The following is a 15,738-nucleotide window of genomic DNA, read 5'->3' as shown; positions in this document are numbered from 1 at the left end:
TTTGATTGTTCATAAATGTATCTTTCATTAAATAAAATTGTAGGCTGTTTTTGGAACGGGAAAAAAGCAACGGAGGAACAGGAGAAAGCAATTTCTTTGGGGTCGGATGCAGGAATTCCAGAGGGGGCAGTGTGATTGCAGAGGAATATCAGACAACTTGGATTCCTCCCCCCAATAAGTTGGTTGCTACCCTCCTCCTTCAATTGAGGGTTTGTGCCCAGCCCTCTGCTTTGCATCAGACTGTCCCATGGTGGTGTAGTAAAGGGGGGCTTTAGTCAAGTAGGAAATTATCAGGGTGGGTGAAGAAGAGGGGGCATGGAGGTTGGCTGGGGGGTGGGGAGAAAGGGACAGGTGAAACCCCCAGAAATATGGTGCACTTAGGCAGGGTAGAGTGAATTTAAAGGAGGGGTGCAATTTCAGGGTCAGAAAGGAAGAGTCCCAGTCTGTGGCCAGGGAAAATAGACAGGAGCTGAGGTTGAGATGCAGGCTCTGGAGGCAGCAGGGTAGGAGTCTTCCCAGACCCGGCCACGCCTGCCCTTCTTTCCCTCTCCTGTCCCCAGGAGGGGACCAAACGCCAGGGGTAGGGGCGGGGGCTAGTTTTCTCCTGCGTCTCTATGGATCTTTCTCCTCTGGGGTGGAGAGGGGCTGGGGAGAGTGTGTATAGTATGTGTGTTCCGGGGGGAGGAAAGTTAGGGGGAGACAGCTGCAGCTGGCAGCACCGACCCCAGCTCCATAGGCCCCCTCCCAAGTCTCTGCTCCTCCCCCTCTCTGGCTCTTTCCTTTTCCTTTTTGGTCTAAGGGGGCGGCTTAACGGGGCTGGGATTTCAACTCATGGGGGAGGATGAGGGATGTGTTTGGTTGGGGAGAGGCGACTTGGGGGTTCAGCTCCTTGGCGCCACTGTCTTCCCCTCCCTTGAGCTGGACTGAGCTGGGAAGCCCAACTTACAACAAGAAACAGAATATCTCTTTGGCCTTGATGGAGTTGGGTTAGCTGTCAATCAAAAAATCTCCCTCACTAGTTCAAGGAAAAGACAGGAGGTTCCAGTCCCCCTGCCGAGGCTTTCTCCAAATCCCCAGTACAGCCAGCACCTCCCCCAGCCCAGGGCGGCTGAGGACCGGGCCCGGCACTTGGGCGGCTGCTGGCAGCGATGAGCAGAGACGTTTAGCCCTCAGCGGGGCCCGGGGCCAGACTGAGACCAAGAGGACATCAGGGGACAGAGCCTGAGAGAGACTGAACCCGAGACAGCCTGGGACAGACCAACTGAAACATGGAGTCAGGCCCAAGAGAGGAAAGAAGGAAGCGGAGCATTAGAATAAAGGGAAAAAAGGGGGAGAATTAAAAGAAGGAAGGCAAGATGAAAAGAGATAGGAGAGCCGGGAAAGGCAGGCGTGCAGAGAGGGAGGCGGAGGAAGGGCGGCCGTAGGCAGGCAGGACGGGGCAGGGGCGAGCTGGCGGAGCAGCCGTGGCATTGTGCAGCCCGCTGGCTTGCCGGGCCTTTGCCGCGGGACCGGCTCCGGGCGCGGCGGCCACTTCTGTCTGGACACAAAGGCGGAAGAGGGCTCCTCTCCTGCCCCTCCCAGGAGACTTGCTCGGATGGGTACTCTAGGCCTCAGGGATATAGAACCCCATATTGGTCCAGACAGCCGCTTAGGCAGCTGGGGGCTGAGCCCTGCTCTATTCAAGGAGCGAAGAAACAGAAGAGGAAAGAGGTTTCACCCCTGCTCTTCCTTTGCGTCTTCTCCAAGCGACAAGGCCAGCTGCCCCAGCCTCAGCTTTCCTGGAGGAAAGAGTCCCTAAGGAGCCTCCCCTATGGGCCTCTGCTATTTGGGAGAGTTCCTCAAATAGACATTGGGGCCGTAAAGAGATGCCCCCTTCTCTCCTACCCCCTTTGAACACCGCCTTCTTTTCAACTCTTGAGCTGCCTGCGCACCCTGCCTGCCCACTCTGCGGAGGCGGCAGCAGCGGGCAGTGAGGCTCACCGGCGGGATCCCTGCTGCCGTGAAATCCCCTGTGAAACCAAGGAGATTGTCGCTTTCCTTTATTTTATTTTATTTTCTGGGACTATGACCTCCGAACTCTTCCCACTCAGAGGCAGGCACGGCTGTGGATCAGGAAGCAGGCCTCGCCCACAGCCCCTTCCCAGCCAATGCCTCATTTTCCCTGCGCCCTTCGGAGAGAGGCGGCCTTGGGGAGGGGGGCTAGAAGAGGCTGGGAGTTCCGGAGTCCACTGGGCGGAGGTTCCGCAGGTCCACAACTGCATGTGGCCTGTAGCCCCCATTCTCCACATTTGGAGGGGTGTGGGTGGCAGACCAGGGCTTTGAAGCGGACCTGCAGATTTCCCTCAAATCCAGGTTTGTAGGTGCGGGGGGCGGGGCACAAAGGATATAGGGGCACCAAGAAGGAAGGTCTGTCTTCCTGGGGTTCAGTTACTCCTTCTGAATCTTCTGCCATACTCCAGACTTCCCCTCACCCACATACTCCCTTCAATTTTCCTCAGCACCGCTGGGGCAAACCCAGGGACTGGAGGCCACTGGGAGTTCTTGTTGGGGAGGGGGAAACCCCAGCTTTAGCTCGCAGCTGTGCATTCACTCTGGTTCTTAGAGTTCCCTCCCACCCCCAAAAGACTTCACTGGGCACAGGAGAGACCCCTGAGGGGGAGGGGCACCCTTACTCCATCACCTGAAACCTGGGCAGCTGCGGCCACAACCAAACTAGCACCGTGGGAAGGACAGACAGAAAGATAGACAGGTTAGAGTCGTCCCCTCCCCCTGCCCCGCGCCTTCCTTTTAGTGATTTAAATTCCCTCCGGTTCAATCCACACCGTCAAGTTCGGATTAAATTTAAAACAGGCTTTCTCCGGTGTCCCCAGCGGGCCATCCCGGCTGCCGCAGGCAGGGAGCCCGCTCCCGGCTCGTCAGCACCCGCCCTGCGCGGAGAAGGCCGTACTCCATTTGCTTTCATTTTCCTTCTCCCCCTGAAATGGGCTCATTTCACCTCTCCACTGCCCTCTTCCCCTCCCCGCCCCCTCCCTGGTTCCCCTCTACTTTCCCCCCTTCTCTCTCCTGATCCCTCTTTGTTGGGAAAAACACACCCACACACAACTCCTCCTAGCTAAGGCCTGCGCTGGAAGCAGAAACTGAGTTCTCTTGGCCTGCCGCGAGGAAACCCGCGTCCTGCCCCCACCCAAGGTGGGTATCTGGGATCCCTACACACCAGGAGTCAGGTCCCGAGGCCCAGCAGGAGTGAAATCCCCAGGGCCTGTGAACGTGGCTCTCTCAAAGCCACGGCCTGCCGGGCCTGCATTCCCGCCGGCGCCCCCGCCCTGACGCTCCGCAGCAAGCGGGGCTATTTCCGGCTCCCCCAACGCGGTCTGGTTTTCCAGCCTGGGAGTGGCTGGAGGGGGAGCCGCCCCAGAGCTAGAGCCGCTCCCTGCCCTGCCCGGAGCCCCAGTGGCCCTGAGCGCCTTGTTACCTGATCTTTTGTGTGATGTATGTGTCGCAAGGAAATTTGCAGTGACTTTGGAGCCCAGACTGAGGAAGCGGAGGTGGCGAAAGGAGAGACAATACGAGCCCGAAGTACAATTAAGGGGCCAGAGCCGCTCGTCTCTCCCCCGCCCTCCCTGCCCGACTGCGAGCTGTCTGGCCTCAAACCTCAGGGCGACACGCGAACCTGGAGCCGGAAACTCAGCCCGTGGCAGAGGGAGTCAGAGGACTCTGCATCCAGAAAACAGAAGCAAAGCGCCCTTCCAACTTGGGGACGCCTTAACCAGCCCCTCTCAGTTGCAGATAACCCAATGAATGAAAGTGCAAATTCCGCCGTTTTTCCCGATTTTTTTTCCAGCCTTGGGAAGGAGAGCTCAGGGTTTGGGGCGTCTCAGACAGAAAGGCAAACCGCATCTCCTGAGGCAGACAGACCCACAACATGAGTGTGAGCCTGAGATCACATACAGGTTCAACATTTCCCGAGGCCTCTTTGCCAGGCCCGGCGGGCGCCGATCTCCCTACCTTCTCTCCCTCCAGGGCCTCAGGCAGAGAGACCCAGAAGACTCTGTCCCTCTGGTTTGGTCCAATCCCGCTTCGGAAGCGCCTTCGTTACCTGGTCCTTCGCTCCCCACGGCCATAGATACAGGACAGGCGGCTCCCGCCTGGGGAGGGAAGCCCCGGCCACCACGGCCGCCGCCGCCCGCCCTCCTTCCCTCCCTCCCTCCTTCTCGCCCTCCCTCTCTCTCCCTCCCTCGCGCGCTGCCGCTCGCGGGGCCCTCCCGCGGGCAACCTGGTCTGGACCAAATCCAGGTATATCCGAAAGAGAGAAAAAAGAAAGGACCTTTTACGCGGAAAAGAAAAGACAGAAAGACCTTCCATTGCATTTATTTTTCATGCTGTGACCATTGGTCGGCCTCAGTTCAGACGTCCCGGACACGGCCCGGCAGCTGCAGAGGCGTGCAGGGCCTGCAGCCTCTCCCACGCTGACCGCCGCGCCCCGCGCGCCGCTTGCTCCACACTCTGGGCCGCCGCCCCCAGGGCAGCCCAAACACCCAGCAGACCTCAAGGTCCTTTCTATAGACTCAACATGCGGTTGCCCGCCTCGCCGCCGGCCACAGCCCGGGAGCCCGCTCTGCTCTGTCTGCGGCCAAAGTCCATACACAATCCACCTTGCCGGTGCTCTCGCACCCTGCCCGAACACCCCTTCTGGCCACGCAGCCGTCCGGGCCACACTCGTGCTGCGGTCCAGCCCAGGACTTCGAACCTCGCCCCCTGCACGACCCACACAAAGCCCTGAGCCCTGGCGTTCCCACCCGAAGCCCCCAGTCCCCGCTGCCGCCGTCTTCTTCACCTGTTCTCGGGAAGGGCTGCATCTCCGAGCCGAAGTCAGGCCGTGGGCCGGGGCGAGGTCCCAGAGAGGCCACAGCGGATCTGCCAGGCTGAGCCGGAGCCCCAGCAGCCGACGAGAGATCTCAGAGACCAAGGCTCGCCTTGGCGAGCTCTTGCCTTTTCTTCCTCCCGCAAGTCTCAAACATTCATACACTGAGAGTTCAGCTCTATAAATCCTGCTCCTCTTTCCCATATCATAATTAAAAAAAAAACAGTAGGGGAGGTTTTAACTTTTATTGCGATTTCTGGAGTTGGGCTGCGGAGCATATATTAAGTTTACGCTTATGCGCTCTCGGCGGGGAGGGTCCTTTAAGAAATAAAAATCCATCTTAATATCCACAGACGAGAGAGATAATTTTTTCTCTTCTCTTCACGCTGTTCCTTCTGAAGACTCCCTTCCGGCGAAGGGAATAAATAATTACCATCGCCTTAGCCATGATCCACGGCCTTGTGCCGGGGGTGGACTCTGACCACCAGACTGGTCCTCACCTTGGCCCTATGAGACCTCGCTCCATTTCTCTGCATTTGGGGAGGAGACACCTCAACCCCTGGCTCTCTGACCTCCCACACATAAGCCCAACAGCTCTGAAACGGAAATGGGGGCACAGAGACCCAAAGCACAGAAGTCGTTCATTAGTGAATTTCGGCCCATCAGGGACTCTATCTCCAAGCCAAATGCTCCTGAGCACCCAGTCCCTGCCTGGGACACGCTTTGCCCCAACTGACTGTGTGCCTGGGGCAGCCTGAAGACTCAAAGGCTGCTAGGAGCTCCCAAACTAGGGGAATCCCTTGCCTGCTTCCCACCAGCTGGCCTGACTCTCTGGAAACTTCCCCATTTCCCTGGGAGCCATAGAGAGGTTTGAATACTTCTCTCCAAGAGAAGAAATTTTTTCTCTCACAAAGGGATGGGGGACAGACAGACCAACAATCCAGCTAGGGAGACAGGAAATTCTATTCCCATTTTCTCCTCCAGCTTCCTTGGGAGTCAAAACAAATATGTTCGCATAAGAGAGGGGAAAAATAAATGTGTATGCGTATAAATACATACAGGGTATTTAAGAGAGCCTAGGGGAGACAGAAACAGAGCCCTACACTCATACAAGGTCACATATATCCCTCCCAGCAGATGACTGTGAGAATATAGAACTCTGTATATATTTTGTTACAGGGACATAATTTTGTTTCCCTGTCTAGACGTTTATAATGTTTTAATAATCATAATAATTTCAAAGTAAGAGAACCAAGAACCTGACCTTCTTTTGGCTTCTCTTCCCCAGTATCTCTGAGAACAGGGGTGTATCTCCTCAGTCTCCATAACCCCTCCCCCATTTATTCCCCCCCCCCCAACTCCGCCCGCAGGCAGGCAAAGAAACCTCTTTTGAGAACTTTCTCTGTAGCAACCAGGGCCAGAATTGAAGAACCAAGGGGGAAAGGATGAGAGGAAGCTTTGCAAAGTTTCACACTGCTCAGATTTTCCTCTACCCCATTCTCCTCCCCTCCTCCCCCTGGCATCAGCCAACAACCTTTCCACCAACATAGCAATGGTGGGCACGGGCAGCCTCTGTTCACCCAGATGTTTCCACATAGTGCAAAGACAGGCAGCTGCCTGACAGTCACAGCCACAGAAACTGAGGCCTTCAGGCCACAGACGACTAAACAGAGACCAGAGTCAGGTTTTTGCCCTGATGTTTCCCAGTTGCGTGCGTGTGCGTGTGTGAGGGGTTCTACTTGGACTTTGATGGCTTTCCTCTAACCTACCAACACCCCAAACATGTCCTTCCCCTGGAGATGGAGCTATAGAAGGGGAAGGGGAAAGGGCTGGGCTGGCGCTCAGAGTTCCCCAACTCTTGGAACCTCCAGGTACCCCACTTTTCTAAGGAGAATCTTGAGCCCCAGTCGACTGGAGGTGGTAGGTGGGAGAGGCTAACCATTCCAGAGACCGTCTTCTCTTTCTGTGCTCCTCTTTCTGCTAATAATTCTGCCCCACCCTGCTGCCCAACTGAGCTGGCCCGCCAGGCCACCTCTTACTCAAACTCCTGAATTTCCTTGGAATTGGCTGGACCCTCTTTGTCTGTCTCCATCAGCTGGGCCCAGGAGACAATAGCTGCAGGAAAGACTCCTCTCCCTTAATCACAGGGATTGGGATAGGTTGAGAGGACGGCATAAAGCAGGGTTCTCCAGACTTGTTCTGCAACCCCACTCACAGCTTGTCCTCCTTGGTCTGCACCCACTTTGCCCTATCTGGGAGGGGGCAGTGGGGCAGTCCCACTGGGGAGGGTAGGAGTGGGAGAGGTGGGTTGGGGCCCTCGACGAAAACCGACTGATGTAACTCAGGCAGTTTCTTGTTGCCGAGTTCAAAACTCAATCCCAACAACATGAAACTACCTAAGCCACAGATCAGCTGAGCGAGCAGGGCGGGAGATTCAGCTTTGCATCTATCTGGAGGAGAAGGGAAGGGGGTTGGGGAAGGAAGAAATTCAGCCCCGTCCCCCTTTCCGCCCCCACAACCTCCCTAAGGACTAGAGAGTAGACTTTGGGTTGCTGGGTGGGTAAGGGGTCTGACTGCCTTCATTAGTTTCTGGTCTAAGCAAATTGCTCAGGAAAAATCTGGTGAAATGGGACCACTGGCGGCCAAATACCTGCCCCACCCCCAGCACCGCAGTGGAGCTATTCCCCTGCATCTGGCCCTGGCCCTGGGGGAAGCTGGATCTTCCTTCCACTCTGGAGCTGGGTCCCCTGTCTTGTCCATCTGGCTCTCCTGCACTCTCCTGCTAGACTCCCTCTGATCCTCTCCCTCTCAGCTCGGTTTAGGCTTCTCAGCGAATGTGGGTAGCTGAATCATAGCCCTGTGCTCTGGAGCCACTTCCAATCAGGCCACTTGCCTGGCAAAACGTTACAGCCAGGGAGCACAGGGAACAAGAGGCTGGACGAGGCTCACATCCAAACCAGCGAAAAGCAGGAAAACCTAAGCTTCAAGCTTCAACCCTCTGTACTCCTCCTCCCCCACCAACAGACGACCAGACTGAGCAACACCTAGACCAGAGTGTCGACTTCGAGGAGACCCAAAGTGCCCGAAAAGATAAAGAAGCCAAAAACCATCAATTTATCCCTTTAACTGTGGAACCCCCATGGCAATGGGCCCGGGAGGGAAGGAGAGGGAGCTCCCAGTCGCTGCCCTCCGCTGCCAGCGGCCACTAGGAAAGCCTGGGTTCTCGGCAAGCACGGATGCCCTAAACACCTTCCTCCAGGCTCTGTCCGCTGCACGCCGGACACCTGGGGACACCGCTCATCCCCACTCCGCCGCCAAGAGAAGAACAAGAAACCGCTTCTCTTACCTTGTCGCTGCCTCCTCCTCCTGCTGCTCCTGGCGTTTCTGTTAGCTGCTGTCGAGGTTGGGGGGGCTGAGCTCCTCATGCCCCTCCAGCGGTTAAGTTTATTCCTTTCCTTGGATGGGTGGGGGGCTCTTGGGGTGACCCCCAGCAGCAGTGGGGTGCGCCCAGCCCAGCACCCCAGGCAATCAGATCCGTCTGCTCCTCAAGATTGCAGCTTGCTCTCTGCCTCTTTCCCTCCTCCAGTCACCTTTAAATGCATCTTTTACTGCAGCACCACATTATATTTGCAGATCATAAAATCCACCTCTCGCGCGCACCAAGACCGTCCTGACATTACTGTTTTATGACCTTGACTTATTGTGGTCACCTGGATAATATTTAAATCAACGTTATGGTCTCTCACTTACATTAAACCCGCCAAGAGACGTTCTAGAAAGGCTCTAGGAGATGAGTCAAACACAAAACACACACATCCACACACTCAGCCTCTTCGGGGGAGGGGTGTTGCTAAAAATCACTAAAAACAAAAAACCATCCATTTGAGGATTATGATTCTGGAAATTTATTAGGTTTTTTTTTCTCCATTAAGGAAGCTACATGCAAAAGATACAACATACAGAATATCTTTAAATAACACAACTCCCAGACAGGGACAGGACAATATTTGGGGGGGGGGGCATTCTGTCTTTGCTTTGCTATGTTCTATTTTTAATTTTTTTGTTCCTCTGGATGAAATTTCTGAGATGTTACTAGATGGGGGATGTGGGGGTGCTAGGAGGGGTGGGAGAAAAGCAGAAAGCAGTACAAATACGAGACTTCAAGCAGATTCTTAGAGCGACTGGGAGGTAAAGACATGGAGAGGGTTTGGTGGAGGCTCTGGGTGCTACGACAAACACACGAACACTAGCCGAACTTTCCAAAACGTCTATTAGTCTAAGGAGGAAATGCAGCAAGGAAGGAACGATTCTGCCTGTGCTCTGCGAGATTACAGACCCTCTCTGGTTAATTTTTTTCCTTTTTTTCCCCTACAAGCGGATGGATTCGATCTTAACTTTGCATGGAGAACAGAATGCTGTGTGTGAGTGCGTGGGTGAGTGAGGGCTTGACACACACACCAGCCACACTCCCACCCCCATCTATGAGGGCACACACCACACCCCACATCCCGGCACCCCATTTCTCATGCTTTAAGTGGAAGCATCTTCGCAGCACGAACCACAGGTCCCTTGGAAGGAGAGTCTGAGGTCTTTGCCTTTTTTGCAGTCGCATTGCATTTATACTCAGGGAGGAAAAAAAAATATATCACCAGGCACAAAGGGAGGAGGGGCGGGGAGAGGAAGGAGCGGGAAGGGAGGAGGAGAGGCCGCGCTCTCAGGTGAAATTAAAATTGGAGGTCAGTTCCCGGATCCGATTCTCTCGGTTCATTTTCTTGAGTTTCATTCTGCGATTTTGAAACCAGATTTTGACTTGTCTGTCTGTAAGGTTAATGGTCTTGCTAATCTCCAGGCGGCGCTCTCGCGTCAAATACATATTGAACAGAAATTCTTTCTCCAATTCCAGCGTCTGGTGTTTAGTATAGGGGCACCTCTTCTTCCTTCCGCTCTTTGCTGTCAGCCAATTTCCTGTGGTGTTTTCTGCCTTTATCTCCTCTGTTAAAAATAACATTATTTACATAAGTATCCCTCGAAGTCGAAAACCCTCTCAGCGCTGCAGCCTTTGCCAGCCTGCTGTGGGGTGGCTGAGGGAGCACAGGGGAGCTGCTCTTGCCCCAGGGGCCTGGCGGTGGGCTCCTCTTAGGCTCAAGGTTCTTACAATTTCTTTGGGGTTTAGACTTAGGGAGATAAAGGGAGGAAGTTCTTGCCTCCAAGCATTTATTAAATTTAAATTACCCAAGTCCACCTTAATCTAAAAGATCCTGAGTACCCTGGCTTTCCCCCAGCTGGCTGACCCTGGCAGATTCCCTAAACCTTGCCAGATCCCCCCTTCTCTCTGTTCCATTCCAGCTCTGGAAAAATCCAACCAGATGGAAAAGCATTTTCCAGGCCCCAGACCAGAGCAGAGTCCACCCACAGACCAGAGAAATTCCCAGAGAGCTTTGACCTGTTTCAACTCAGTGGAGGGACTTTGTTCCAGGATCTGTGGCCAGAGGCCACTGCAGTGGTCCCTGTCCTGGGCCCCCAGCTCTTACCCCAACCTGAGCTGCCACAGAGTGACTCTGCTCCCTTAGGTCTCCCATTGCCATCTCTTCCTCTCTTAATCATTTCTCCCAGGTATGTGCAGCTGAGGGGAGCTTGTAAGAGCAGCAGAGGTCAGGGGCAACAGAGCTGGGGCAACCTAAGGGGTCCTCAAACAACTTTCCTGGCCAAAGGACCTAAGGTCAAGGGAGAGACATATCCTGAGGAAATGCAGCCTCCTAGAAACCCCCTGCCCAGTCTGTGCATACGTAGATGTGTATGCCTGCAAGTACACATGTATACCTGCAGAGATACACACACCTATACACATAAGTACACACACATAGATATGTACATGAGTCTTTTTTTGTAAGGAGATACTATAGAATACTGTGTATTTCCCATGAGCTTATTGACAGCCTCTATCCCTGACACACATTCTTGCTGAAATGGACCAGCCTTGCTTCTCAAGTAGCAGAAGGGAACCTGGCCATCTTTTTAAGGGCAAAAAACAGAGTCCAAAGACCTGAGAGGACACCCAGCAAAGGACTCTGCTGATGGCTCTGAGCTCTCTCTCCTCCCTATTCCAATGAGGCTGCCAGGTTCCTGGATCTTATCTTGTTGGGGGCGGGGTGAGGCGGGGGCCTAAGAGGAACCAGAAAACACACAAAAAAGGCAAACTTGAGGTTGCAGTCTAAAAAAATCTGAATGTCCCGAATTTTCTCTCCTGTCTCTGCACCTGCAGCTTCTTGCCAGATTGTTTACAAGCTCTCCACATCTAACTACGTCCTGTTTATTTTCTTACTGGAGTTGTTAGGTTTGGTGGGGTGGGGGGACAAGACAAATTATAAATGGGGAAGTTTAATCAAAAGCTCTCTTGCCTCTGGCCTGGTGGAGACATCAAAACAGGAGGAGAGGAAAGAAGGGCACAGAGAGGGTACAGGGTAAGAGGGATTCCTTGGGGTGGGAGGGATTAGGTTGCTGTGGGGACAGCTAGAGGAAAGGGAGAGCCTATGGGAATGGGTGCAGGTCGAGTTAAGAGGTGAACTTGTTAACCTTGACTTTGCTTTTGGTGGGGGCTAGAATGCAGGTTTTCCTGCCCCAAATCTGCTCCCTAACCAAGCTCAGGGTCTGTAGAGAGGGTATAAGATTAAACCTTCACACTGCACACGTGCCAAACGAAAGGCTTTGAGGCTGTAGGCGCCTCACTCTCCCCCTTATCCTCATGAACACACCAGCGCTCATCTTCCAGTCAGTGTCTCTATGGGGATGATTTACCAAGACCACCTTTGCAGACCCAAGGGGATGAGGCTCTGCCCTTGCCCGCCAAAAGAGTGCCTGTGCATGTGTGAGCGGGCATGCGTGAGTGTGCAAGGATCATGCAATATGGATGTGCGTGAGTGTGGCACAGGTCGCCCGTAGGCATGCGTGTGCGTCGCATCCATATACAAAGCACCAGGAGATCCAGGCCGCCCCCAGCCTGCTCCGCTCTCAGTATTTCATCTTCCTCTACACCCAATGAGCCCCTTATATACTGTCACCAGTAGCCGGTGTTGTGGGGAGCAGGTTTATTCTTCCCCGTTGGTTGGGCCTTTTTCTGAGGCTCTTGCTACAACTTTTCAGGAAAAGTCGTTCCCCTCAGCTTTTCCTCCCCTGCTCCCGTTTCCTCCACATTCTTTCCCCAAGTATCAGAGAAAGATCCCGAAGGCCCCCAGCTCCTACAGCAGAAATGAATCTTGAACCCTGAGCTTGAACTCTGGCTGGGCTTTCTCTCAACCAAAATTACAGTGAAATCCAACCAAAGCCACATTCCCTTTCAGGAGAAAACCTCTTGCCACGCACACAGAAATTTCCCAACCACTCATTTGTAAGCTGCTTTTGGAAACCAATGAAAAAAGATAATTTAACTAGAAAAAAATGGAAAAGAAAAAATTAAAAGAGGAAACAGAAAACTTACAACATTCCAAATGCCCTGTTCCAACGCCATCCAAGCCAGGCATCTGGAGGAGGGAGGGACGTGGCGGGCAGCCCTTCACCTCCACCTCTTCCGGCTCCAGCCTCGCTGCCCAAGGCCCCCGGCCGAGCCAAAAGCCGCAGGAGCCCAAGCCGCACGCACAAATCAGACCCACAAACAACAAATCGCGTTTCGCAGGAAACAATTTTCAACTGGGAAAACGCAGTAAAGAGAACTCCCCCCATCTCCCCAGCCTTCCCTAGTCCCTGGCCCAAGATCGCCATTTTAGGCTTTTTGCAAGCCCCTGACCTGAGCTGGGGGACGTCAGCTCCCCAGGACACCAGCATTGAGAAAGCAAACCACAGCCAGCACGCGCCTGGGAGCAGCCACCCGTCCGGTGCAGCACACTGCGCCTGCAGGCGGCCCGCGGTGCGCACCGCCCCCGCCTTAGCACCCATGGCCGGGGCAGGGCCGACACCTCCACGTCGCCGCTTACCTTCCCCAGCTAAGTGACGCGCCACCAGCCTGGAGCTCAGCGGACGCTAGTCGAAAGCCAGGGTCGCATTCCCGAAATGGTCTGGGGCCTCCTGGGCCCAACCCTCTCCCCTGCCCCCCTCCCCGGCCGCGAAGACCAAGTGCCGGAACGTCCCAGTGGCGCCCGCGGCCCAGGCGGCCTTACCTTTCGCTTCGTTATCCGAGGTGTCTGGGCTGGAGTCGGCAGCTTTGGCCCTCTCCTTTTCGCTCTCCGAGGGGCTCCCTTTAGGGCCCGCCAGGCTCTGCTCCGTCTTGATTTCATTGGGGCTGGGGGTCTGGCTGTCGGACTTGGGGGTCTCAGGGAAACTCACTTTGCCCCCCAGCTGAGGCGATTCCAGATGTTCGGCGCGCGGGTTGAGACTGGCCCGCTGCTCGAAAGGGGCTTCGAAGTCGTTGGCCCCAGAACAGTGGGGCGTCTTGTCCAGCGCGGAGTAGCTCGGGCTGGCGCGGTAGTAGCTGGGCACGGGTACCTCGTGCTCCCCAAGGCAGGACTCCGGCAAGGGGTGGGAGTAGAGAGCTGCCTCGGGGCCACTTTTCGCCCGCTTCTCTGCGCTGTACATGCAGCAGACATTCTCCTCCTTGACACTAGGTGGGTAGGAGCAGGAGGACAGCGGCCTGCCAACAGGTTGTTCCAGGCGATAGGCGGCTTTGGGGTCGCCCCAGGAGTCCAGCTGCGAGAGGTAGGACGGATAGGTGTTGAGGGCGAGGCTGGGGCTGCTGCCCTCGTCCCTCTTGGAGAGCGAGGGCGCGAGCCCGCAGCCCCTCATCACCCCGCAATTGAAGTCACTCCCAGACTGCATATACATGCCTGCGCTCCGGCTATAGCGCTCTCCTCCGCCGGGCGCAGCCAAGGGCTCCGCGTACGAGTTCGGAGTTACATTGCGAGGGCATGTCATTTTCAGAGAGAGGGGTTTTTAAGGAGCAATACTACAGCGGAGGAGCTGACATCTTTTTTTTTCCCCATCCGGGAGGGGGGGCGCGGTTGGAGGGGAGGGAGGAAAAAGAAGGGGAGGGGGGGAAATATCAGCTCCGTAATTATCCGCGCATTCGGTTCTCACCATGTGACGGCTAGACCAATGGGATTTGAAAATGGCCTTGATGATTCAGACGGCCGTGACGTCAGCGGGGTCAAGTTGTCGGCAGGCGGAGCGCGCAGAGTGGAGTAACAGCGCCATCTAGCAGCTGCCTCGGGGTAGGGGCACCGGAGCCCTTCCCCGCGAACAAAGGAAGCGCCCCCCGGGCGGCAGGGGAGGTAGAGGGGTGGAGGGGGGTGGGGGTGGGGGTGGGGGTTCTAGGAAGAGTGGGGTTTGTTTATCCAGTAACCAGCCTGTAACTCCTGGGGAGAAGGGGGCGGAGAGGGGGGAAATGCGGGAGAGAGGGAGAGAGCGAGGCAACCCGGGGCTCAAAACAGTCAAATTCAAATTAAAAGGTCGAGACACGAATCAGGTACTTCTCCCCACTCTTCATCTCCCCTTTCCATATCCCCGGACCCGACTCCCACTTCTTACCTTGGGGATGGGAGTGGGGTGAGGTTTGTGGGGGGGGGGGTTTGGGGGGATCTGATGAGCAGAGAAAGGGGAAAAAAAGTTAAGGAATACCAAACAGGACTAAAGTTTCTGCTCTCCCGCCTCCTCTTTTCCCCGGGCTTGGCCCTCGGGGCTGGAAGCTTGGGGGCCGCGGCGCTGGAGTTGCAAGTTTCCTGTGGGGGTTGACTGGGAATCTCCAGCCTCTAGGGTGGGCCAGGGAGGGGGTCACGGTCACTTCATGGCTGCTCGGAAAAGGAGGTTCCGAATGGACGCGGGGTAGGGGAAAGAGGAAGCCAGAGACCAGAGGCACCCGATCCCCGACCCGAGAGCTGTGGCCTGGGCCTGGCAGGGTGGGCGGCTCCTGGGTCACCATCTCAGGGGCCCACAAGGCTTTGGCCTTGGAGCCGGTTCTGCTGCTTTACTTCAGGCCCTGGCGGTCCTCGCTTTCCGCTTGACCTTGCCCCCGCTAAAACAGGGAATATTCCGGGAAAGAAAGAGGGAACCTGCGGAGCCTCGGTCAGTTTGGAGGAGTCACGTATCACACGGGAAACCAGCACACAAGACGCAACAAAACCCGACCCAGAGAAGCGTCCTTTACAGAGCGCACGGGCTGGGAGCATGTTTGAAAGAAGACAGACCAGTCTATTTTTGTGGTTGTTTTTAAATAAAAGGAAGAAATAAGGGGAACCGTATGTTTCAAACAGTTATTTCCGTTTCTCCATCGCCTTCTTCCAAAGCGAACTAAACTCTCCACCCCTTCCTCAGGAAACGGAATCTGGAGAACAACTTGTCTTTCCTGTCGCCCCACATTTTTCCTTGGACAGAGCCTAGGGTTCAGACTTTCCGAAGGGCTGGAGTTTGGCGGGGAAAGGACTGGAGCCCAGCGCCCTGGAGTGGAGGAGTGAGGAGGCTAGACCGTTTCTAAGGAGGCCCAAGCCCGCTGCGGCTAGAAGACCGCAGAAAGAAATCCGCCGAATTTCCCCATCCAGGGGTGGAGAGAGAAGACGCAGGGGTTCCTGAACCTCCGGAAAACTGGAAGGAAATGTGGAGTGTATGATTTGCTTGCAGGACCGGCCAGGGGAGATTTGAAATGGTTTTGTGTTTTCATATGCAGGGTCACCGTGGCCTCAGCATGGGGGTTATCCAGGGCAAGGTTAGGCTGTTTAGGCCCCAGACTTGGGACAGTCCGGGCAGCAGTCAATCCAGGGAGCCATTTGTCCCACCGCCCATCCCGCGGGAAACGGGCGAGACTTTATGGCCACTCTGTTTGTATTATCTGCATTAGTCTTTCCCCACCAGTTTGATCGAAACCGTTCCCTTTTACGAGGACCCAACGAAAATTTCCC

The 15,738-nt window shown here is 55.2% G+C and overlaps 1 protein-coding gene, 2 long non-coding RNA genes and 1 other non-coding gene across 4 annotated transcripts, besides 3 other annotated features; 2 read left to right on the top strand and 2 right to left on the bottom strand.

Moving 5' to 3' along the window:
- The first annotated feature begins 2,236 nt into the window (after positions 1 to 2,236).
- On the top strand, positions 2,237 to 3,814 carry HOXC-AS2 (HOXC cluster antisense RNA 2). Its single transcript, NR_047505.1, has 3 exons — positions 2,237 to 2,352; positions 3,113 to 3,189; positions 3,504 to 3,814. It is a non-coding gene; the product is annotated as an HOXC cluster antisense RNA 2 (long non-coding RNA).
- Positions 3,237 to 3,805: an enhancer, noted in NCBI's record as "H3K4me1 hESC enhancer chr12:54389001-54389569 (GRCh37/hg19 assembly coordinates)". NCBI's record gives its function as "activates a minimal SCP1, AML or CMV promoter by ChIP-STARR-seq in naive H9 embryonic stem cells {active_cell/tissue: H9 hESC(naive)}" and the evidence as "EXISTENCE:reporter gene assay evidence [ECO:0000049][PMID:30033119]".
- On the bottom strand, positions 7,175 to 7,284 carry MIR196A2 (microRNA 196a-2). The gene has a single exon (NR_029617.1). It is a non-coding gene; the product is annotated as a microRNA 196a-2 (primary transcript).
- Positions 7,285 to 8,742: 1,458 nt separating this feature from the next.
- On the bottom strand, positions 8,743 to 13,876 carry HOXC10 (homeobox C10). The gene is made up of 2 exons (NM_017409.4): positions 13,012 to 13,876; positions 8,743 to 9,853 (listed from the first exon to the last, which is right to left on the bottom strand). The coding sequence occupies exons 1-2, from the start codon at positions 13,760 to 13,762 to the stop codon at positions 9,576 to 9,578; spliced, it is 1,029 nt and encodes a 342-aa protein (NP_059105.2). The 5' UTR covers positions 13,763 to 13,876; the 3' UTR covers positions 8,743 to 9,575.
- Positions 12,212 to 13,092: an enhancer, noted in NCBI's record as "H3K27ac-H3K4me1 hESC enhancer chr12:54379714-54380594 (GRCh37/hg19 assembly coordinates)". NCBI's record gives its function as "activates a minimal SCP1, AML or CMV promoter by ChIP-STARR-seq in naive and primed H9 embryonic stem cells {active_cell/tissue: H9 hESC(naive and primed)}" and the evidence as "EXISTENCE:reporter gene assay evidence [ECO:0000049][PMID:30033119]".
- Positions 12,678 to 12,727: a silencer, noted in NCBI's record as "silent region_4519". NCBI's record gives its function as "represses an Ori minimal core promoter by ATAC-STARR-seq in GM12878 lymphoblastoid cells {active_cell/tissue: GM12878}" and the evidence as "EXISTENCE:reporter gene assay evidence [ECO:0000049][PMID:35858748]".
- Positions 13,503 to 15,071, top strand: HOXC-AS3 (HOXC cluster antisense RNA 3). The gene is made up of 3 exons (NR_047506.1): positions 13,503 to 13,546; positions 13,939 to 14,058; positions 14,868 to 15,071. It is a non-coding gene; the product is annotated as an HOXC cluster antisense RNA 3 (long non-coding RNA).
- Positions 15,072 to 15,738: the final 667 nt, after the last annotated feature.

Source organism: Homo sapiens, chromosome 12, assembly GCF_000001405.40.
Source record: "Homo sapiens chromosome 12, GRCh38.p14 Primary Assembly".
Taxonomy (NCBI): Eukaryota; Metazoa; Chordata; class Mammalia; order Primates; family Hominidae; genus Homo; species Homo sapiens.
This window is presented reverse-complemented; position numbering and strand designations above follow the sequence as displayed.